The sequence below is a fragment of the Homo sapiens genome, chromosome 1 (assembly GCF_000001405.40).
Source record: "Homo sapiens chromosome 1, GRCh38.p14 Primary Assembly".
In the NCBI taxonomy this organism is placed as follows: Eukaryota; Metazoa; Chordata; class Mammalia; order Primates; family Hominidae; genus Homo; species Homo sapiens.
This window is the reverse complement of record NC_000001.11, coordinates 111439877-111463064: the sequence shown is the minus strand read 5'-3', so window position 1 is coordinate 111463064 and position 23188 is coordinate 111439877. Positions and strand designations below refer to the sequence as shown.

At 40.9% G+C, this 23188-nt stretch overlaps 2 protein-coding genes across 6 annotated transcripts, besides 3 other annotated features; one reads left to right on the top strand and one right to left on the bottom strand.

The window, feature by feature from the left end:
* Positions 1–291: 291 nt before the first annotated feature.
* Positions 292–13601, bottom strand: ATP5PB (ATP synthase peripheral stalk-membrane subunit b). Its single transcript, NM_001688.5, has 7 exons — positions 13484–13601; positions 13192–13228; positions 8709–8854; positions 6816–6979; positions 6310–6435; positions 3429–3608; positions 292–2148 (listed from the first exon to the last, which is right to left on the bottom strand). The coding sequence occupies exons 1-7, from the start codon at positions 13521–13523 to the stop codon at positions 2071–2073; spliced, it is 771 nt and encodes a 256-aa protein (NP_001679.2). The 5' UTR covers positions 13524–13601; the 3' UTR covers positions 292–2070.
* Positions 7843–7892: an enhancer, noted in NCBI's record as "active region_1497". NCBI's record gives its function as "activates an Ori minimal core promoter by ATAC-STARR-seq in GM12878 lymphoblastoid cells {active_cell/tissue: GM12878}" and the evidence as "EXISTENCE:reporter gene assay evidence [ECO:0000049][PMID:35858748]".
* Positions 13352–13461: an enhancer, noted in NCBI's record as "active region_1496". NCBI's record gives its function as "activates an Ori minimal core promoter by ATAC-STARR-seq in GM12878 lymphoblastoid cells {active_cell/tissue: GM12878}" and the evidence as "EXISTENCE:reporter gene assay evidence [ECO:0000049][PMID:35858748]".
* Positions 13512–13881: an enhancer, noted in NCBI's record as "active region_1495". NCBI's record gives its function as "activates an Ori minimal core promoter by ATAC-STARR-seq in GM12878 lymphoblastoid cells {active_cell/tissue: GM12878}" and the evidence as "EXISTENCE:reporter gene assay evidence [ECO:0000049][PMID:35858748]".
* Positions 13809–23175, top strand: WDR77 (WD repeat domain 77). Of its 5 annotated transcripts, none has more exons than NM_001317063.2 (10): positions 13809–14010; positions 14261–14446; positions 15489–15630; positions 15921–15970; positions 18941–19011; positions 19144–19198; positions 19671–19742; positions 20304–20412; positions 20972–21040; positions 21682–23175. In NM_001317063.2, the coding sequence occupies exons 1-10, from the start codon at positions 13896–13898 to the stop codon at positions 21833–21835; spliced, it is 1023 nt and encodes a 340-aa protein (NP_001303992.1). In that variant the 5' UTR covers positions 13809–13895; the 3' UTR covers positions 21836–23175. The 5 variants fall into 5 exon arrangements, 4 of the variants coding, with proteins under 4 accessions (NP_001303992.1, NP_077007.1, NP_001303991.1 ...); NM_024102.4 differs by having other exon boundaries at positions 21676–23175; NM_001317062.2 differs by having other exon boundaries at positions 20936–21040; positions 21676–23175.
* Positions 23176–23188: the final 13 nt, after the last annotated feature.

The following is a 23188-nucleotide window of genomic DNA, read 5'->3' as shown; positions in this document are numbered from 1 at the left end:
ACACTAACAGCTTTACAGATTGTTTAGCTCCCACAACAGCGTAGTCAAATTCCTTATATATAAACATATATTCTGCTTCTCTGACTGAACCTTGACCTGGATGATGTATATGAGGGAAACAAGAGGCTGGTGAGACTACCTAAAATGGTGCTTGCCACACTCTCAGAGCACCCTGTGCTCAAGTTTGTATTATCACATATTCTTGCTGTCTTCCTAGTAGATATTTAACTCCGAGGTAAGGACTTTTATCTCTGTATGATCACTGCATTACGTTGCTTAGCACAAACTAGGTGTTTTATAATTTTTTGTTTAATCAATTTGAAATAACTGCTGATCCAATCAAATTATCTTTAAGTAACAAAGATATCAATCTGATTTCAATATTAGATTAGTACATTAGCTACCAATATTGACTCAAATGATTATTACATAAAATCTTAGGAAGTCAATGAAAATAGCAATTACCCATGATAAATATTTTCAAATATTTCCTATTGCGTAATTTGTCCATTTGAATACAAATAAATCCTTGTACAAGTATGGGAGAATCAAATGCAGATAAACCTATGAAGGGAAGAATTTTCTAATTTATCTACAGGATTTTTCTTCAATTTAAAAAAAGATTGTAAAATACACATAAAATTTACCATTTTTAAGTGTACCATTTAAGAACAGTATTAAATACATCCTTAATGTGCCACCATCACCACTATCCAGCTCCATAACTCATCCTGTAAAACTGCATAACGTCCTCAAGGTTCATTCATGCTGTAGCCAGTGTCAGAATTTTCTTCCTTGAAGTGGAATAATATTCCATTGCATGGATATACTACATTTTGCTTATCCATTCATCTACTGATGGCCGATTGGGCTGCTTCTATGTTTTAGCTATTGTGAACAATGGCTGCTATCACCATGGAACACAAGTATCTCTTCAAGACCCTGCTTTTAATTTTTTTGAGTATATATGTCGACTGGGATTGCTGGATCATGGTATTTCCATTTTAATTTTATGAGGAATCACCACACTTTTCCATAATGGCTGTACCATTTCATATTTCTACGAACAGTGCACAAGTGTTCCAACTTCTCCACTTCCTTGCCAACACTTGTTATTTTCTATGTTCCTGATAGGTGTCTGCTGGATTTTTTTTTTTTTTTTTCTAGATGGAGTCGAGGTCTGTTGCCCAGGCTGGAGTGCAGTGGCGTGATCTCAGCTCACTGCAACCTTTGCCTCCTGCGTTCAAGCAATTCTCCTGCCTCAGCCTCCTGAGTAGCTGGGATTACAGGCGCCTGCCACCATGCCCGGCTAACCTTTTGTATTTTTAGTAGAGACAGGGTTTCACTGTGTTGGCCTGGCTGGTTTCAAACTCCTGACCTCAAGTGATCCGCCTGTCTCGGCCTTCCAAAGTGCAGGCATTACAGGTGTGAGCCACTGTGCCTGGCCTGCTGCATGGATTCTTAAGAGTGATTTTATGACACTCTGAGTCCATAATATTTTCTATAGGCATACTACTAAAATAATAAAGTCAATGATATGAATTGATATATAATACTCCATTTAGTTATTTTAAGAGTACTAGAAAGCTTTACATATCTCATAACCTATCAGCCAGAAACAGTTCACCACTGAATGGTCTCATAAACAAGACAGTAGTTCAATGACATCTTTAATTTTTACCCATATGACAAAAGCTGAGTATTTCAGAGAATTATACAACTTGAAAAACCCTGTTTCATTCAATTGTCACTTTATTGCAAGATGGTAGAATTAATTACAAATTTAAACTATAACCTGTTAATCTTTAGTCAGGCAGCAAGTTTTTATAAAGGCAAACTGCTTATTCAGAAGTGATCACGGAACAACTCAAAGGCAGAGCAAGAAGGATGAGAAACATCTGACTGGCCGATAGAGATTTCGTTCTCTCACTATATGAAACAAACTTTTCATTTTTAGGAAGGGTAAACTATAACTTCAGTAGACACCAACACAGAAAGACTTTGTCAAATAGACTAGTTTCCATTTAGTCAGTCAACTGTTTCTAGCTGTCTCAATTGGGATAGATACATTTACATAACTGGCTGTGCTTGAGCCTTCTTTGCCAGCAGCTTTAGGTCCGCAATGCACTTGGCAATTGTCTCCTTTTCCTGTGATAAGGAAAGAGAAATCTGGTTAGACCTTTCCAAAACATAGAAAAGTATAGAGTATAAACACCATTATTCTAAAAGACACCTCCTACCAGACCAGAACCTCAAGATGATTACTGGCTTAACACTATACAGCTACTAGACAGGTTTAGAAGTAAAATTAATTAACACAGAGGAGATATAATTTATTTTAAGCAAATCCAGGGGGTTAGTTAAAATTCCCTGGCTCACAGCCTTTATGGGTGAAACCTGTATAGAATTTGAGGCCAGATATTCCTGTAACCATCTGCCACTGATGTTGGCTTGTACAACCAACAGTTGCTTGAAAAAGACCAATTCAACAAATATTAGTAATATATAAATGTTAAGAATGAAAATAATTTTTAATCTCTTTTCTAGACTTCTTTTGTATTTTCTAAGTTTCTTAAGTAAGCATATATATTACTTTTATGTAAAAGTTTATCAAAAAAAAAAAAAAAACTTTGATAGACACTGTTTTTCTAATCCTGTATAGGTTATGCTGAAAACAACCAGAAATACTTAAATGTTATAAACTCGAGAAAGAAAAAAAAAATCAAGTCATATTAAAGCAAAAATATAAATGAAAAAAAATTAATTCAGTTTAAGCAAATAGAAAACATTTCCGTTCAAAACAGACAAGTTATGCAGGTGAAAAGAAGAAATGGAATGTCATGGAATTAGAAAATGGAAGGGGCTTAGAAATAGCCTTGTTCAGTCTTTTATTTATTTTTTGAGGCAGGGTCTCGCTCTCTCACCCAGGCTGGAGTGCAATACTGCAATCACAGCTCACTACAGCCTATGCTTCCTGGGCTCAAGAGATCCTGTCACCTCAGCCTCCTGAGTAGCTGAACTACAGGCGTTTGTCACCGCACCCAGCTACTTTTTAAATTTTTTGTAGAGACAGGATCTCGCTATGTTGCCCAGGTTGGTCTTGAACTCCTGGCCTCAAGTGATCCTCCTGCCTCGCCCTTCCAAAGTGTTGGGATTACAGGTGTGAGCCACCGTGCCCAGCCCAGTCTATTTTATAGAGAAATTAAATATATCAGTTAATGTTACCCAAATTTAAGGAAAGAGAAAAGCCATCCTGACAGGTATGCAGCATCTTCCTGCTTATCACTATCCAGAAAAACAAACCGGGGTTACACTGCTACTTCTAGGCTAAAGACTCCTTGCCAGCTATTCCTACCTTAACAAAACATCAGCAGATACTTGTTAAGAGATACCAGTACAACATCAGAACCTACAAAAATGTTGTGTACCTGCTGTGTGGAGATGCTTTGCACCACGTGCTTCTCCACCCAATTTATCATGTGTTCTTGTTCCTTTCGACGCATCATGTTCTGCACAGATATATGATAGTCCAGGCGATTCTTTACTTCCTTATATACTCTATACAGTCGTTCCCGGTAAGTAACTTCCAAAGCCATAGCAATGTTATTCTGGGGCAAAATTAAGAAATGATAAATATTGTTTGTATACTTGAAGGAATACTTCTACTCTGAAGATTCTGCCAGTGAGAATGCCCACTTCTTTTGTATTTTACGTGAAATTCTTTTATTTAATAGGTAATATGTACCTAGAAATTATAACAGCATATGGCAAAAACATATTTAAAAGTGATGCTGTATGAAATAAGTCTCCTTCAGCCTCCCCCATAGGCCATTAACTTCCTGTATTTCTTGTATTCCCTCCCAGAAATATTTAATAAAAATATAGGTATACCCATCAAAATATAGGCATATACACATCACTTTTATTAATTATGACACACAAACCTACCTCAATTTTAAGTTACACTGGATTCCACTATACTGGTATTCTATAATTCATTTTTTGGTACTACAAATAATGGTGCATACATTGTAGATTTGTCTTTGTGTTTATGTCATAATACTTGCTGGATCAAATAATAGTTAACATTTGTAGAGTACTGACTACACTCTAAACACTCTTGTGTTTAGATTCAATTAAACCTTGTAACCAAACCATGGCATAGTTATTATAATTGTATCCATTTTGCAGTGAGGAAACTGAGGCAGAAATTAGGAAACTTGCCCAAGGTTACAGAGCTAATAAACTGTGAAGCCAAGATCAGCATACAGGCAGTAAGGCTACATAAGGCCAAGCTCTTACATATCTCTACTTGGCTAACCCATAGGCATCACAAACCAATGCATACCAAACTGAAGGCTATTGGCAACAAGGCAATCAGAATGATCCTTCAATGACTTTCTCTCATTCAGAGTCCAAGTCAAAGTTCTTATAGGAGCCTAAGGTCTTTATATATCACAGTCCCAGGCCTCCCTCTATCTCCTTTTATTCTCCCCCGACCAATTCTACTTCAGCTGTATGGGCCTTCTTACTTTTCCTTGACTGTATCAAGCAAACTTCCAGGTTTAGGGCATTTGCAACTGTTCTTCCCTCAGCCTGGAACTTATTTCCCCAAAAATCCACATACTTTGCACTATTAGTTCTTTCAGGTGTCTGCTCAAATATCATATTAGAGACATTTCTTGAATGCCCTATAAAAACAGTGACTCCCTCCTCCTGCAATTTTGTAGAAAGGGGGTCTATGTTGCCCAGGCTGGTCTCAAATTCCTGGGCTCAAGTGATCCTCCCGCCTTGGCCTCCCAAAGTGCTGAGATTATAGGCATGAGCCAATGCGCCTGGCCTGCAATCTTTTTAATACTAGTTTATTTTTCTATCTGGCATTTATTACCTGTTGACATTTGCATCTGTTCAATTATTTATTTTCTGTGCTTCTCCCAAAGGCTGGCTAGAAAATAAGACTCCATGAAGGCAGAAGCTTTTTGTTCTCCACTATATTTTCAGCACTCTGCCTTGATCAGAATATCTACACAGGAAGAACTCAATAAATATCTATCAAGTAAATGTAAATAAATAAAAACCTAAATTACTATCATTTGACTCTTAGGAAAAAGCTACATTTTCCAATATGGTTTTTTAAAAAAGCCAAAATATATGTATGCATGCATTCACGTGTGTGTATATACTATGCAAGAAGCAGGAAGCATTCTCCCTTTGTAACCTAAATATACATGGAATTAACATTTTCTGAGATTTTCAAATATCCATGTGCTTAAGAGTCTTTAGGGATCTTGTTTAAAATAATACAGATTCTGGATAGCCCCTAAGAAAGGTTCTGATTCCATAAGTCTTGGAAAGGGACAAAAAAATTAACACCAAAGATAACTCTAATCCATGTGGTACCAAGACCACATTGGCCAAGATCCTAAACATTTCAGATGCTTAGTATCTTGGCCAATATTGAGAAATATTGGCCAAGATCCTAACTATTTCAGATGCTTACTCTACCTTAGCATCTCATTTTTCATTTCATTTTAATATAAAACTTCAACATAACAGCACCTCACTTTTAAATATTAGCCATAAAGTACAAGGCTCAAAATAAAAACAGTAATAACAAAATACTTGAACATATTCCTAAAGATTGTTTTGGAAGCTGCATATTTTAGAATCTAATCATGTTCTGACCATGATAAAAAGCTCTACTGCTATCTGAATTTGTTGTTTGTGTGTGTGTGTGTGTGTGTGTGTGTGTTTGAGAGAGTCTTGCTCTGTTGCCTAGGCTGAAGTGCAGTGGTGGGATCACAGCTAACTCCAGCCTTGACCTCCTGGGTGCAAGCAGTCCTGCTGCCTCACCCTCCTCAAGTCCTAGGATTACAGGTGTGAGCCACTGTGCCCTGCCTGCTTTGTGGATTTAGAATGTACAGTATCAGATTTCCTTACAGCAAAGATGTTAAGATGTTCTTGCAGCAAGTGTGTATGAAATACACAGGATGTATTTTACCTAGTCTTCCTTACACAGTGCATGCCATTTTTAAATCAGCTTTAACTTAATGACTATTTCATTTTGTGTGGATCCAAAATTTTTTTTAATAGCTTCTATAGATTCTAATTTTATAATAATTTGAACTATTTTTCCACTTGACAGTTCTTAAATGTTTGAATAGCCGTGAATGCCAACTCCTACACAAATCTTCTCTTTTCTAAATAAAATACGTTCAATCTATTTAACCATTCTTCATAAAAAATTCTGAATTAAAAAAATGCACACAACAAGTAACTTCATTCTTCCTAGAAACTTCTGAAACCTACCCTTTGCACATCAAAAAGGTAATGGCGCTTCTGAACCAGTGCCTGTTGTGACTTCTCCGTATCAATTGCATTCTGGATGTGTTGGATGGAAGCCTGCTTCGCCTCTTCTAGTTGGGCAAGTTTTTGCTACAATTGTGATAGCAACAACAAAGATCAGTGAAAGCACAAAGGGTAAAAAAAGGAGATTCATTTCATGCTTCTTCAAAGTTGTATATCTCATTTGTAAAAACACCCACAAAGAAACATAGAAAGAAACGCACAAATCCTTAAAAAGAATTGCCCATAATAACTATAGAATATCTTTTGAATGATTAAACTATAGAAAAGCTAAAGTGTTTAGTAGATATAAAAAAATTATCTCAAATTAGTAACTAACGTTAACACTTATTTGAAGCATTAGATTCATTTCTATATGTTGCTCCCCTAACACTCATATCAAAAATATCACTAGATGACCTTCATGTTTCTGCTAGTCTAAAATAGGAAATAAAGTTTATGGTTCTTACCTCATTGAGTTTATCAGCAAAGTCTGCAACAAAGGGACCATATTTTTTAATTCCATAGACCATTACACCTAGTACTGATAGGGCAGTGAAGGTCTCTGCGCTAATCACATATATTTCTTTGGATAAAGCGTACAAGATAAGCCCAGTTCCGAGTACATAGGGTCCTAAAAGAAGAAAGAGTTATTTTATGAAGGGATATGCTATGCCTAAAAGAGGGAAGATAGAAAGGTACTTCTATATTTGATTAGCTGAAGGCAAAGTAATGACTTAATTAGATTCAAAGACAAAACACTGGATTGGGAAGCAGTATGGTAGAGTTGAAAGAACAAAGATATGGACTCAGGGAAATCTGTATACTGACTCTACAATTTTAAAGAAACTGAGCAATCTAAATAATCTCTGAATTTAGTTCCTTATTTGTAAAATGGGGACAGTACCTTCTTCAGTCTGATAAATTTGAGAAATAATGTTAAGCACAATACCCCGCACAGTAAATTAAACTATTCTACAAAGATGTCAGATAACTTTCTGAAGTAATTTGTCCAGCAAAATATACTATTTATCGAATGGGACACTAGACCGGATAAAATTTACACAAGAAACAAGCAAAAAACAACTACAAAGTGATATGTATATAAAAGGATGAATAAATATTAGGATTCTCAATTCCTGTAGCACCTAATTACAATGCTTCAAATATGGCTTTTTCTTTAACCAGGCCATGTGTTCTGAAAGGATGCAAACCATGATTTACATTTATTTAGTCTTTCCTCCGCGCCTCACAGGATGTAAGGGAGGCCCAGAGCAGGCTTTTAGGAAAGCATTTTACAGTATTTCTGAGAATCATAGGATGGCAGGATGTATCATAAGAACAACAGGGTTACAAACTCAAATACATTTTACCTGGTTTCCCATACAAAGTTCCAACAGTTTTTTTTAACTGCCTTTAATATACAAATTTTAAATATGAATTTGCAAGAAACATCTATCATATGTAACATTGTTATCACCTATGGACGTCTGAGGAGACTAATGTTTCTAGCAATTTCAGTTAGGAAAATGCTACTTTAGGTGACTCCAGGGCTAAAAAAAAAACAATCTTCGGTTTCCAATGTTCCAGTCATAGCAATACTTGGGTATGGGCCAAGAAAGGCAGTACATGTAGTAGAGAGAATCATAAACTTAATCAGGGGACTCTTGCCTTACATGGCTTCATTTTTATTCGTACCCTTTTCATTACCTAACAGTATATTATACAGTTACTCATTTCTTTATTGTCATCCTACAACAGAATGTATGTTCCAGGACAGCAGGCACTTAACACTGTTCAACACTGTATGACTGCAACAGTGCCTGGCATAAAGCAGGCATCAAAAAATTTGATCTACTAACAAACAGAGATAATGCTGTAAAATTAAGTTAAAATCCCAAATAAATTTATACCAAAGACAAGTTGGAGCAATCAAATCAATTGTTACAATTTCCTTTTAAAAATAGCTGACTTGCGGCTGCAGGCGGGTGGCTCAAGCCTGTAATCCCAGCACTTTGGGAGGCCAAGATGGGTGGATCCCACAAGCCCAGGAGTTGGAGACCAGCCTGGGCTACATGGTGAAAGCCCGTCTCTACAAAAAAATAGAAAAATGAGCCGGGTGCACGCCAAGTCCCAGCTACTCGGGAGGCTGAGGTGGGAGGATGACCTGAGCCTGGGGAGGTGGAGGCTGCAGTGAGCTGTGATCTATCACTCCATCCTGGGTGATAGAGTAATACCCTGTCTCAAAAAACAACAACAACAACAACAACAACAACAACAAAAACCAAAGAAGAAAACCCACCTAACTTGATTTTAGTGGTGCCATCAAAACATATTACCAGAGACTAGGCAAAAATGCTCACCTGTTACACCAGTTTTAGGATAAAGAAACTGGAAGAATTCCTCAGGGATCAGTCCATAACGAACTTTTCCTCCGTATTCAGGAAGAGGTGGTACAGGGACAAGGTGTGGCTGCCCTGTATGAAAGGTCCTTGTTGCCTGCAATACCCTACAGGTAGTAATTGTACAAATGTAAAGCCTGTTTCTTTAAGGAGAATACAGTGTATGAATAATGAGCAGAAACAATAAATAGGGTTGATAATTGAGGCAGTTTTCTAACTCTCATAATGGAAAGAGAATGGACTGGGAATGGGAAGGTTAGGGTCCAGTAATCAGCTGTGACAACAGCAAAGAATTAATCACAGACATTTAACCTTCTACCCAATACTGGAATCCCTTCTATCAGCCTTGCAGATCATCTGTCTAGCACTTTGTATGTCTATCATTAGCACTGAAATATGTAAGAATGTGGACGTGGCGGTCAGATAGGCATCTTGAGTTCAAATCCTAGACCTGCTCCTTGACTTTGAGTAAAGAACTTAAGCTTTTGTAATCTCAGATTTCTCTCAGTAAAATGGAAATAGAAGATAATACCTTATATGGTTGTTGAGAGGATTAATTGAGTTAATATATGTGACGTGCTTAGAATGATGCCTGGCACATGGAAAAGTTCTACGTAAGTGGTTAGCTATTATATGCCTGATATGTTGTAAGCTCCTGGACCTTTTTGAATACTCTCTTTGATGAGAGTGCTAAACACTATATGTAACAGACTTTTTCAGTACTGGGTAGCTCTAATTATGTTCATCTTTGAATTGAGATGATACATACATTCTTGGAACCTCAATCCATTCTTAGTTCTAATTTTGCTTTTCTATGTAAGATAACACACATGTACCTGGGTCAAACATCTGTTCCCTCACAATCCTGATTGCCCGTAAGGACTTCTCTGGTTTTATCTTTTTTTTTTTTTTTTAATGAGGTATACAGAACTGAATATAATACTTTAAGTATAGTCTGGCCAATTTATTCATCCTACAAATACTTATTGAGAACTTACTATTGCCAGTACTGAGCTTGAACAATTGAACTATTATCAACAGTGGATTTGGAAACTATTCTTGTATTAAAGCAGCTTAAGACTACACTTTTAACAGTTACAGCATACTGATGTCTCCTTAAGCTTCTGATGAAATAAAATCTAGTCCCTTTATATCTGCTGTCATTTAGTCTCCTTCAAGTTTTCAGTGTATTTCTGTCCCACTTCCTACCCTCCATTCCTCCAATCTCTCAACTTCTATCTCCTTGTAATATAAGAATTTACATTATTTCATTTATTTTGGTACAATGCTTATCTTTTGAATATTATTTCTGCCTCCAAATATATTAGCTACCCCACCAGGTTTTGAAATCTGAGAATCATGCTTGAGATTCCTTCATTTACATCAAGGTTTCTCAATTCAGCACTACCGACGTTTGAACTGGATATTTCTTTGTTGTAAGAGGTTGTTCTGTGCATTGTAGAATGTCTGGCAGTATCTTTGTGGCCTTTATACAATAGGTACCAGTAGCCCCTCCCTCCCCGACCCATCCTATGGTAACACTGAAAAATATCTCCAGACATTGCTAAATGTCACCTGCAGGCAAACCACCCCAGGCTAAGAAGCACTGATTTAAATCATAGCACTAAATGGTATGCTTAGGCTGACAAGTCTCCCTAACTAGCTACCTTAGTTCAAGTCCTTATCACCTCTTGCTTAGTTTAACAATACAAAACCTGGTCTCTCTGCTTATTTTATTTATTTTTTTGAGACAGAATCTTGCCCTATCACCCAGGCGGGAGCACAGTGGCATGATCTCAGCTCACTGCAACCTCCACCTCCCAGGCTCAAGTGATTCTTGTGCCTCAGTCTCCCGAGTAGCTGAGTAGCTGGGATTACAGGCGTGTGCCACCACACCCAGCTATTTTTTTTTTTTATTTTTAGGAGAGACGGGGTTTTGCCATGTTGGCCAGGCTGGTCTCAAACTACTGTGATCTGCCGTCTCGGCCTCCCAAAGTGCTGAAATTACAGGCGTGAGACACTATACCTGGCCTCTGCTTCTTATTAAATACCCCAACTTAAACCTAGCCCACTCACATTACTGCCAATGTTTCTAAAATGAAAATCTGACTTGAAAACTCAACAGGCTCTCTCCTGCCTACAGAAAACTACTTAATATAACATACATAATCTAGTACCTGTCATTTTTTTTTTTTTTTGAGACAAAGTCTCACTGTGTCACCCAGGCTGGAGTGCAGTGGTGCCATCACTGCTCACTCGCAGCCTCCACCTCCTGGGCTCAAGCCATCCTCCCACCTCAGCCTTCCCAATAGCTGGGAGTACAGGTGTACACCACAATGCCCAGCTAATTTAAAAAATTTTTAAAAATTTTTGTTGTTTTGTTTTTGTCTATGTTGCCCAGGCTAGTCTTGAACTCCTGGGCTCCAGTGATCCTCCTGCCTTGGCCTCGGGATTATAGGCATGAACCACCACTGTGCCTGGTCCTGCCAAATTTTATAACCTTATCTTCCTTCATTCTCTTACTCTCCTGGAATTACTTAACAGCTCTCAAAAACAAACAAAGAAACACCACAAAAAAATTGCCTTATGCTGCTCCTTCTGCCTTGTATGCCCTTCATACCATGACTTTATAGCAATGACTATCAAGACCAATCAGGAGCAATGACTACCAAGACCAATTAGCCTCCAGATTTGTAAAGCCCTCCCCCCATTTTGGGCTAACATTCATTCTTTTAATCAATTAAAAAAAACATTTACTGACTTTCTACTAATGCTAGGCACCGGTAACATGGCAATGAACAAAGCTCCAGCCTTCAACATTCTAGTGGGGGTATGGGAAGGGTGAGTGTGTATCTCCATACAAAATTTCAGGCAGCTCTAAGTGCTATGGAGAAAAACTGAGCAAGGTAAGCGGATAGGGAGCAACAAAATGGGGAAGAGTTTTTTGGTAGGGAGTCAGATGACATTTGACCCAATCATCTGGGGAAAAGAGAGAAGAGCAAGTAGAAAGATATTGAGGCAAGAATGCGCTTGGTAGTTTTCAGAGGAACACCAAGGTTGGAGAATGAGCTAAAAAGAGACCACAAGGAGATGGTGTCAAGAGATAGGATGGAATCAATTCATGTTGGACCTTCTGGGTTATGCTAAGTTTGGATTTTATTCAAGTGGGATGGGGAGCTCTGGAAGGCCTTGGTGGGGGATTGACATAATCCTCCTGGCTATTATGAGAATGGGCTGTAATGGGACAAGAATAGAGATGCAAGACTAATTAAGAGACTACTAAAATACCTAGGTGAAAGTTTATAGTGGTTCCTACTTTAGCGGTAGTGGAAGCAGCAGTCAGAGTCCAAATTTCTAGAGGAAGAGCCTTGCTGAGGTACTGGACATGGAGTGTGAAAGAAAACCAAGGATATTCCTTGTATCTTGTAAGTATAAGTTATTTACTACCTGGTATTACAATTATTTGTTTACCAGTCTGTATGGGGTCCTTTTTCTTCTAAGTTGGAAGCAGTCAATTATAGCCTTACTTTTTGCATACATGAGACTTAATTATAGATAAGACCACTTTTTCAAGTCCATTTTTTTTCAATTTGAGTTACCGTATTTTGCAAGCTTTAGAACTAAGTTTGGAAGTAAAAAGAGAAATCTCTAGGAAAATGGACATGTCTTATGGAACAATTTTAACGGTAACAGCTGCTAAATTTACTAAGCACACGCTATGTACCAAGAACTGTTTTTGAGTTTCACAGCAATTGTCTCTTAATTCTCAAAAGCCACAATGCACTATTATCGCCATTTTATAGATGAGGAAATTGAGGTCACACAGCCAGTAAGTGGAGGGGCCAGGGACCCTGTACTGGCTGTGGAGCCCTCACTCTAAACCAATACTCTTAAGGTGCCTCCCATTCCTAGACTGTGAGCTCCATGAGGGCAGGTAATTAGCCATACTCATTCTTGTATCCTTGGTTATGTTTTTAGGCAACATAAATATTTACTGAATCAATGAATGATTTCTCTGATTGTTATCATATGGCAGCAAAAACTAGGTATCTGGGAAACCGACTGTAAACAACATGCTTTACTGTTTTATTGAACAAAATTTATTCTTGGGTATGTCATCTACTCGGATTCAGGCTGTGGAAGCTACATGTCATAAGGTCCCAAGGGAAGGTCACAAAGGAGTAGGGCGGGTATAGAAGACAGCAAAACCAATTTCTAGTTTAGTTAGAATACGTTACTTATCCTGCTAAAATCTTGGTCATTAGGTGACATGAGAGCGTTCCTGGCAGTTACAGGAACAAGTGTCTTGTCTGAAAGAGGGTTTAAGTGTCCCAAAATTATCGGAAAGAAATTTCTGACCTAAAGCTAAGGGGGTGGGGGCAGGAATCGGGAAATAAAAGGTAGTGAAAACAAAGACGAAAGGGAGCATTATCCTCACACTTACCCTGGACCTAGGAAGGCTGCATTCTTCAGAGAGGGGGCTGCAGATAGACAAGGCGAAGGTCAGCAAAGTCAAATGAAATCTGGTTTGCCCTTTCCTTACCCCCGCCAGGCTCTATCACTAAGCCTATGTACCCCTCTTTCCCGTCCCTCAAGACCCCACGCTCCCTTCCGAACTGCACTGACCACTCGCCTCTCAGGCCCGTGTCGCTGCGCCCTTCTCCCCTCCCTGTCACCCCTAGATTCGCTTCTTTCCAATCACTCTGATAGTCCAGAGCAGGGTCTATACCCCTTACCCGCTGTGGCGGCGGCGGAAAGTACCACCCGGGACAGCATGGTCAACGAAAGTCCAGGTAGCAATCTTAGCGTCCCTGTGACCCCGATAGGAGAATCTGTCAGGGCAGGACCAAGATGGCCGCTCACAAGTCTCGCGAGATGAAAATTTTGTACTCTTCCTTCAACTTTCCTTGGGAGATTTTTAAAAAAAATTATCGCGAGAAGAGTCAAGTAACGCTGAGAGCCTATCGCATGAGGGCGACAGCCGGAAAGCAGGATGGAGCCATAGAAGCAATTCTCGCGAGAAGTAGAGTTGCGGTTCCCTCGGGAGAGGGGCGGAGGCTCAGAGGTGCACCACGTGGGGTTTGCTGCCGGAGCGGAGTCTCCGGCCGGCGTCCAGTTTGAGTCTAGGTTGGAGTTGGAACCGTGGAGATGCGGAAGGAAACCCCACCCCCCCTAGTGCCCCCGGCGGCCCGGGAGTGGAATCTTCCCCCAAATGCGCCCGCCTGCATGGAACGGCAGTTGGAGGCTGCGCGGTACCGGTCCGGTGAGCCGAGATCCCGGGCCTGGGAGCTCCCTTACCCCGGCCCAGGGCGCCCCTCCCCGGAGACTGACCCTCCCAGCCCATCCCCGCCCTGCATGTTATCCTGACCCTGGGTCGCGTCACCGAGCTGTCCCCAGCCCTGCCCCGCGTTCCTGAGCTCAGATCCAGACCCGGCCGGAACGCTGTTCTGTGCGGTCTCCATGGAGGCGAACCCTTCTACCCTTCACGCGCTGACAGCTTGTACCCCCCGTAGATGGGGCGCTTCTCCTCGGGGCCTCCAGCCTGAGTGGGCGCTGCTGGGCCGGCTCCCTCTGGCTTTTTAAGGACCCCTGTGCCGCCCCCAACGAAGGCTTCTGCTCCGCCGGAGTCCAAACGGAGGCTGGAGTGGCTGACCTCACTTGGGTTGGGGAGAGAGGTATTCTAGTGGCCTCCGATTCAGGTGAGTCACTATCCCATTATCCACCCCCACCCCCGGGTGGAACGGTAGAATGGAGACTTGGGGTACCGTAGGGTTGAGCTCAATATCTAACGTCCTATACTCAGTGCTTGGAGGAGCCTGAGAGTGTTGGCCCCGAATGCAAACTCTTGTGTAGGTGGGAAATACCTTTTCTAAAATTCTAAATTGTCTGGTGAGATTTCCTAGAAAAATCCGTAACAAAATTAAGCAACGGATTGGAACCATTTTTCTTCTGTGTAACCTGCCCCTTAACCCCCACAGCCCAGACCAAGCATAATCTTGATTTTAAGATGACATTGAAGCCAATCTGTGCTACATGTCTCTTCCCATTTCTTACCGCTTTCTTGTCTTCATTCTGCTTTCTTTTTGTTGACTGTTAGGCTTAGCGATGCAGGCTTTGGCTTTTTTTTTTTTTAAAATCAGAATTTGGAAGTTGGCCGGCATTGCATGGAAGTTTAAAGTCCCAGTTTTTGATAGATTTAACCTCTCTGACAGTTGAGCTTGAACACTACATAATCAAGACAACTTTTGGCGGATTCTCTATACTTAACCAGTCACTGTGCAAGACGTTCAATTATTCAACATATTTTTAAAGACTCTGCAAGACATTTATTCAACTAGTTCAGCAAATACTTACTAGTGTCCAAATATTGGGGAAGTGTTAACATCACTGGATAGTGTGCTGCTTAAACAGTTGTGGAAACTTCATCCTTGTCCCCTTGCAGCTCATTTTCCATATTCTCTCACTAAAAGCAGATAATGAATTTTACAGACTGTTCCATCTTTGTCTTTTTCTGGAAGCTTTCTGCACCTACTTGTCTGGGCTGTCATTAGGAAAACAGTAACGCAGAATAAAGTCAAAGACTCAGAAATTAGCTGAACTCTCCAATGATGTGGACTTTGCTTTTACAGGAATAACTAACTTACTTTGTTAATTTAGTGACAATGGCTCTTTGAATCCTAGAAGTGAATTACTGCCTTGGTATAATCCAAGCTCATGTTTTCCTTACCCTACCCCCAACAGGTGCTGTTGAATTGTGGGAACTAGATGAGAATGAGACACTTATTGTCAGCAAGTTCTGCAAGTATGAGCATGATGACATTGTGTCTACAGTCAGTGTCTTGAGCTCTGGCACACAAGCTGTCAGTGGTAGCAAAGACATCTGGTGGGTCCCTGTTCTCATTGCTCCTGTCTCTAAGCCTCCTGTGGGTGCCTTTCCTATCCTGTTAACCTCATTAGGTAACATTTTGGGCTTATTCTAAGAATCCAGTGACTTATTTTAGCATGTCTATAAGGTTTCCTTAGGGATTTTGCAGTCCATCGTAAGTAGACCATAGCAGCAGTCCAAGAGGCAAAGACTTGGGGAATGTTGATTACAGGAAGTTCTTGTTTGAACACGTTTTTATGTTGATAGTGTAGGTCAAGATTAAATGTCTGTTTGCTTTTGCTTCTTAGCATCAAGGTTTGGGACCTTGCTCAGCAGGTGGTACTGAGTTCATACCGAGGTGAGTATTCTTTCATTTTTAGCCCTGGTGTTAGCTGTTGTGTTTTTGGACTTTTTGAACTTTGCTTTGATGTTAGGAGCAGCAATTCCATGTTCTGATAGTTTTCTTGTAAAACAATAGTCAGGCTCCGGTATCTACTCCTTGTCCTTTTCTCAATTTCCTTGTTTCTTTCTTTCTTTTTTTTTAATTCGACTAGTCAAGTGCAGTAGTGAAAAGGGAGGAAAGAATAGAACAAGGAGTTTAATCTGTAACTGACTGAACAATCAACTGAGATAACTCACTACCTTCAGACCAGCCAGTTTCCCTGTTTCTATTGATGGCCTCACCACCTTGGCAACACAGGGCTCAAACTCGGTCCTTTTCCACCTCTTCTGTTTTCCCACCATCGGTTGGCCACTAAGTTCTTTTTAGTCTTTTCCACTGGTCAGTCACCTTCCTGTCCATTTCTATGCCCGTATTCACTTTCAGGCTTTACCTTACACAGGCAGTGGCACTCATCTCTCCACTAGCAATCTAGCTCTTTTGGTCTTTTATTAGTTTCTTGTGGCCTGTGGATTAAAATCCCATTTTCTTGTCATGGCATTGAAGCCCTTTTACTCCATTTCCTCTCTTCAAGCTTACTAGATCCTTGACATTCTTGAGGGATAAATCTTGAGACTTTTAAATCTTGAACTTTTGAGTATTTACCTTCATAAAATGTCTGTTTTCTGGTGAGAACCATTACTTTTTTAATGCCCCTCTTTCTGCTCACTTTCATTAACAGCACTAGTAGTTAACTTTATCTTGGGAGCCATTCTTTGTGAAGATAATGTCTAGAGCCTTAATGTGTACATGGTTCCAAGGTTTAGATGCTGGGGGATCACTGTGGTTCTCTCAATGGCTAAGTGCCTTTCCCTGCCATTTCTAACTTCAAAGTACATGACTAAGTTATAGGCCAGAGAAATCACTGACTCATATCCAAGGTCCAGTATCCTGGACCCTCAGGGTCACTTGGAAATAGTTTTACAATAATGTTGAATGCCCAGCTGTGCGCAGTGGCTTAACGCCTGTAATCCCAGCACTTTGGGAGGCTGAGGCGGGTGGATCATATGAAGTCTAGGAGTCAGAGACTAGTCTGGCCAACATGCCGAAACCTTGACTCTACCAAAAAGTACAAAAATTAGCCAGGCGTAGTGGTGCACATCTGTAATCCCAGCTACTTGGGAGGCTGAGGCCCGAGAAGTGCTTGAACCCTGGAGGCGGAGGTTGCAGTGAGTCGAGATCACGCCACTGCACTCCAGCCTGGGCAACAGAGTGAAACTGTCTCAGGGAAAAAAAAAAAGTCAATGTTCTATGTCTATTATATTTGCTTTTTATTTCTTAGACATATGATGTGCTTTCCTGGTTAATGCTAACTCTTTTTCAGCATTTCTGCCATGCAGCCTTTTTGTTAGTTCTTTGTGTTTGTGTCTTATTCCCCCTGCTGAATTCCAAATCCTTTATTATTTTTCTATTTTTTGTAGAGACAGAGTCTTGCTATGTTGCCCAGGCTGGTCTCAAATTCCTGGGCTCAAGTGGTCTCCTGCCTTGGCCTCCCAAAGTGCTGAGAGATACAGGCATGAGCCACTGCACCCTGCCCCAAAACCTTTGAGGGTAGAGGAACCATGTATTCATCTTTTGTACACCACCATGGTGCTTGTCCCAGAGCTTTGCTTTTTTCAAGTGAGCAATAAATTCCTTTTCTTACTTCTTATCCTGTTGGCTTTCTATGAATTCTAGGGCTAGGAAAGAACTATGGAAACTGGTTTAATTCCATCCTTCTGCCTCAGGGAAGGGCCACATTCAGACTACCTGGGAAAGTCTGGTAAAATGACTGTAGAAAAGGTTTCCACAGCTTCTAATTAACATGTAGCAGTGACTTTAAAGTTTTTTACATGTAGACCTCCTAAAACAGTTTTGAAAATCTGTGCCCCCTCATACATTTTTAAACTGATACCTAAAAATGCTTATTTAAGTAGTTGCAGAGAAGGTAATTTCTGGCATATAATTTATTGTGTGCTTATTTCAAGCATATATTTGTCAAAATTTTAGATTCGCAGGTTAACGCTACTTAGTTTGCATGAATGTCTACCAAACAGCCTAACTGGCAAAAGCCAGTCTGCATTGTAAAGCCAGTGGACCAAGATAGACTAAATTTTCTGTCAGAAAAAGTCTGACTTTGTTTTTAAATTCAGATAAAGTTGTTGAATATGTCCTTATCACAATGATCTATCATATTTTTTAGTTCTCATTATTAGACAGAAACAGAGTTAAGTCACAGAGCCATACTTGTGTTTGTGGTGTGACTGAAACAAGATCAGCCCCCTTCATTGAATTTTACCTAGATGCTCTTTCTTTTTGCTCTTTGGTTCTTATGGAAAAGCCCCTTTTGTCCCTTAGTTTAGAACCCTTATATTTTTATACCCCTGAGCATTGTAGCGTGGAAAGATCTGGGATGAATGACAGGTATGTGTTCTTTCTATGAAGTGGGAGAAGAGTGATTGAAAACAGAGGCAGTTCAATTTTAAGAAAGAGAACATTAGAGAAATTGGCTCTCTTAATACTATTAGCGCCCAGAACTCCCTCAAAAGTTTTTGTATACTACTTGGAGGTGTGTGTACTCCAGTATGAAGACTGCTATTCTAGAATTATTTAGCCCTCACGTCTAGGATGCCTAAACTGGAAATTCCTTTGTTATTCTTACTAAGCCCCTAATTTCTCATTCATTATCTTCACTAATACGTTTTTTTTTTACAAGGCTTTTTAGGTTTTATAAGTCTATAAACTTCTCCTCTTAGCTTTTGTCTAATCCATAATCTCCCACAAAATTTGTTAAATTGCATCATGAGACCAGCCCTCCCTCCCTCCTGCCCCTTGATTATTCCTGGGCTGGCCCTCTAGTAATGCTTCAGCTTGTTTTCTATCATATTTCTCTTTCTCTCTCCTTTATAGCTCATGCTGCTCAGGTCACTTGTGTTGCTGCCTCTCCTCACAAGGACTCTGTGTTTCTTTCATGCAGCGAGGTAAGAGATAGCTCCTTCTTCCCTAAACACACTCCAGCCATCCATAGGCCAAAGTCTCTAGTGGGGAGACTTTCTGGCCTGCAACTGCTCCTTTGGATTATGAAATCCTTTTTCTGTTCCACCTTCCTCTAGGACAATAGAATTTTACTCTGGGATACCCGCTGTCCCAAGCCAGCATCACAGATTGGTGAGTCTGAGATTCATTGGTGGGAGAATAGTACTTGGAACCCTGATAGAAGAGACTGTCTTTGGCCAGTGTCAAAGCATAGTTGCTAGATGCCCAGTGTAGTTACTGTGACATGAGTGACATAATCTCCTTCTTTTCCAGTGAGGCTCTGCTAACCCCATTCTGTGCAATGAATACCAAGAGGAAGGGCCAGTTCCTGGGTGGGTGATTTACTTTATTAGATGGTAGGACAAAGGGGCCAGAATTGTTATCGTCATGATTCGTGCCTGAAACTTGCCTGTGACTCGTGTCCAGAAAGGGCAGGAGGCTGCTGGGATAAATGGTTATGAGGCTCAAGGATGAGGACACTGCTGCCTTAGCAGGGTTTGGGAAATCAAATAAAGGTGCTCCCAGGATTTAGAGTGATATCATTTGAGAAACTGCTTCTTCTGTACTCTGAGTTTTGGTCCAGACCCTCGTCTCTCCTTTGCAGGCTGCAGTGCGCCTGGCTACCTTCCTACCTCGCTGGCTTGGCATCCTCAGCAAAGTGAAGTCTTTGTCTTTGGTAAGGCAGCGTGTCAGACTTCATATTGACTCTGGGAAAGGGGAGGAGGAAAAAGAAAGAGCTGACTCCACAACACACAAGGCCCTTGTTGCTCAGTCTTAGCCCTCATGGACACTAGATGAATTATGAATTGAGGGTGGGGAGGTGGGGTGATGCCAACGTAGTTTTAGTGTAGTTTTGGAGAACATGATTATTTTCCCAGTGGATTTGATTTTTGATTGATTGATCCAGCTTCTGTATTCTGGGCATGGCTATAAGTCAGTGATCCACAAAGCAAGTGGATTGCTATATAGCGAATTCTGTCCTACTGTGGGTAGGTGTAGCGCTATCGTGGTCATGAGGCTGTGTATATGGTGACATAGTTTGTGGTTAAAATAATAACTGCTTCGTTCATTAACTTAATTTTCACAATGATCCAGTGACTTATTATTCCTACTTTGCAAAAGAGAAAACTGATGCTCAGAATGGTTAACTTTTACAAGCTCGAGGAACTAGGATTCAAGTCTTTGGCACAAAAGTCCATGCTCTTAATCACTATGACATGTTCCTTCTCTTCTACAGGTGATGAGAATGGGACAGTCTCCCTTGTGGACACCAAGAGTACAAGCTGTGTCCTGAGCTCAGCTGTACACTCCCAGTGTGTCACTGGGCTGGTGTTCTCCCCACACAGGTACTGTTCTTTGTCATCAGGGGCCTGATGGGTATAAATGGGAACCGTGAGGGTGTGTGTGTATGTTTTCAAAGCATTAGCTGATGAAGTAGTTCCTTAAAGCAGACAGTGTTCTAGCTGAGGTTTCGGAACATCGAAGATCTCTTAAGTGTGAAGTAGAATCCTTTGGGAGTCAAAGGATTTTTCAGATTAGATGGTTTCTGTCTGAAATGGCTAAAATGTGATTTCATTCCTGCCCAACACCCAAAATGGTTAATGTTGTGGGCTTCTAGGACTGTGAGATTGGAAAAGCCTGTGTTTCTGGGTTATTGCTGAAGCTATAGAGAGGGACCAGATGGGGTGGTTAGTTGCCAGGATGGTTGTCAACCCTAACTTTGCTTCATTTCCCTCATCTTTACTTGAAACTTTTAGTGTGGACTTGTAGTAGCCAGATTAGCCAAAAGTGGGAATCAGGCTGCCTCTCCTGGGTCACTTTACAGTGGCGGCAGGGCCGGCCCAGTTAAGGTTTTGTCTTGGGATCCAGGCTGGACCTTTCACAACCCTCTCCTCCATCTGATAGTGTTCCCTTCCTGGCCTCTCTCAGTGAAGACTGCTCACTTGCTGTGCTGGACTCAAGCCTTTCTGAGTTGTAAGTGTGAAGTGGAATCCTTTGGGAATCAGGGAAGGGGAGCAGTGGGTGGGCGAGTCATTTTCCTCTTCAGAAAACTGTGTTGTGCTTTTGGAGAACAGATTCTCCATCTGTATCCGAAGGGACTTGGTAATGGAAGCAGGCTGGCTGTTGACCCTGTCCATTCCTGGGGCACATTCACAACCCCAAGGACAAGCCGTGTCCTTGGTAGAGGGGGGTGGTAGGTGAAATTTTTAAGTCTAGCCCTCCAGCGCTCTCCCACAAGGGGGCGGCAGTCTACCCTCTCACATAAAGAACTGCGTATGAAATGCAGCCTGCTACAGGGTAAAAGGCAGCACCTGGAAGACCTGAATTGTACTTCCCTCCTTGCCGTGATTTGCTGCCTGTTACTGCCCCTCATCACTGTCTTGTTCTATCCAGCATTTCTTCATCTATGAAAATAGAAGACTGGATTGGATGACTGATGACATCCACTGTGGATAGCTACACTGCTATCCTGGCGATGAGGCCATACAGTTGGTGAAATGTGTGTAACACACCCAAAAAATGTGCCCCAGATGTGTTGGGTTCTCTTTTTTTCTCCAGGTCTGCTTTTCTTGTCTCTACTCTGCCCCGACTTTTTTTCTTTCTTCTAGGTTTAGAAGCCAAGCCCACAGAGACTTTGTGAGAGATGCGACTTGGTCCCCGCTCAATCACTCCCTGCTTACCACAGTGGGCTGGGACCATCAGGTCGTCCACCACGTTGTGCCCACAGAACCTCTCCCAGCCCCTGGACCTGCAAGTGTTACTGAGTAGATTGGATTTAAGACAAAAAGCAAGTCCCCCATGAGTGTCCACTTCTTTGCCCTGCCCTCTCAGCTTGTGAGACAACACAGGAGCCTTCTATAGTATGTTGATATGCTAGATCTGTGCCGTTAATAGGCATCGTCTCTCAGCCTGAGGGAGGCTGGATTCTGGGTTCCTGTAGTCACAGGGAGGAAAAGCTTTCTTAAAAATGGACATGTATGTGCGTGTGAGTGTGTGTGTAGATTTATAGTTTTTGGTAGTGGCAGGAATAAAAAAAATCCATCCTACATCTTCCCTAAGCACTGCCTCTCTCTCACCCCCCAAAACAAGTTGACGAAAGGGTTTTATGTAGCTGTCTATGAGGAATTGGCCGTGTCTGGGTGGGTTATGGGATGTGGGCATCCCTGGGTTCTTGGAAGCAGCTCTTATGCTACTCATAGAGATGGGATTGACTTTATTTTTTTATAGTGCTTAATTCACCATTATGAGAAATGCTTCCAGTCACAAAAATGCAGCCCAGCTCACTCTGAGGAAGAAGCAGGACTTGGTACGGTTTTACACAACTCCTTACCATTAAACTGAATCAGAAATCCATTTTCTGGCTGAATAAAAAGTTTGGCTTGCCTGTGTAATGCCCACTCCCTTCCCCCTGGCTCCCTAGTGATGGGACATATATGAGAGAGAAGTGTTTTTCTATCATAGACACCATAGGGGAAAGTTTGGGGATGAAGGAGAGCTTAAAGGTGTTTCAATTAAGTTAGAAAACTGACACAGGCTGTTGAGAATTCTTTGCCACTTTTCCCACCCCAAAACAGCATGGGGCCTGACATCTTCTGCCCTGGTCCCCTTTCTCTTGATGTGGAAAGTCTGAATGCAGTATTTATAGACTTCTAAGGTTTTAAAATCCAGTATCAAGAAGAAAATCAGAAATACTGGTTGGTGAAATAAAGAGTTTAGGCATTGTTGGCCTGTCTTTTTTGAAGCATGTGTGTTATGTGTAGTTAGATATATTTCACTTATGTGAGTCATCATGGTGTTGGTCTTGTAGCCCATTATTTTTCCTGTGCTTCCCCAGCTTCCCAAAGTAGCTAGTTAGAACTTAAGGTAAATATTTATTCTTGGGTTGGTGGAGTGGATATTGCCAGTTAGGAGTCATGGATCAATTACTGATTATATTGAAAGTAAATATAATCAATTATGTACTTTTGAGCTTTGCAGGTTCAATTTAGGTAAAAATCACATTATGAAACTGGGAAAGTCTGAAGGAATATGGGCAAAATATTTCTCAGTAAAGCTTCCATGCTTCACCCTTGACATGATTACCCTTGAGTAAAACATGGGAATTTGTAGTTGTGTGATCCT

Coding starts and splice junctions, on each gene's coding strand:
- WDR77 (NM_001317062.2), top strand. CDS start 13,896: ATGCGGAAGGAAACCCCACCCCCCCTAGTGCCCCCGGCGGCCCGGGAG. Junction 19,199..19,670: donor CAAGCCAGCATCACAGATTG/GTGAGTCTGAGA, acceptor TCTCCTTTGCAG/GCTGCAGTGCGCCTGGCTAC. Junction 20,413..20,935: donor CTGGTGTTCTCCCCACACAG/GTACTGTTCTTT, acceptor CTTGGGATCCAG/GCTGGACCTTTCACAACCCT.
- ATP5PB (NM_001688.5), bottom strand. CDS start 13,523: ATGCTGTCCCGGGTGGTACTTTCCGCCGCCGCCACAGCGG. Junction 13,229..13,483: donor TTCCGCCGCCGCCACAGCGG/GTAAGGGGTATA, acceptor GTCTATCTGCAG/CCCCCTCTCTGAAGAATGCA. Junction 3,609..6,309: donor ACCTTTTTGATGTGCAAAGG/GTAGGTTTCAGA, acceptor ATTTTGCCCCAG/AATAACATTGCTATGGCTTT.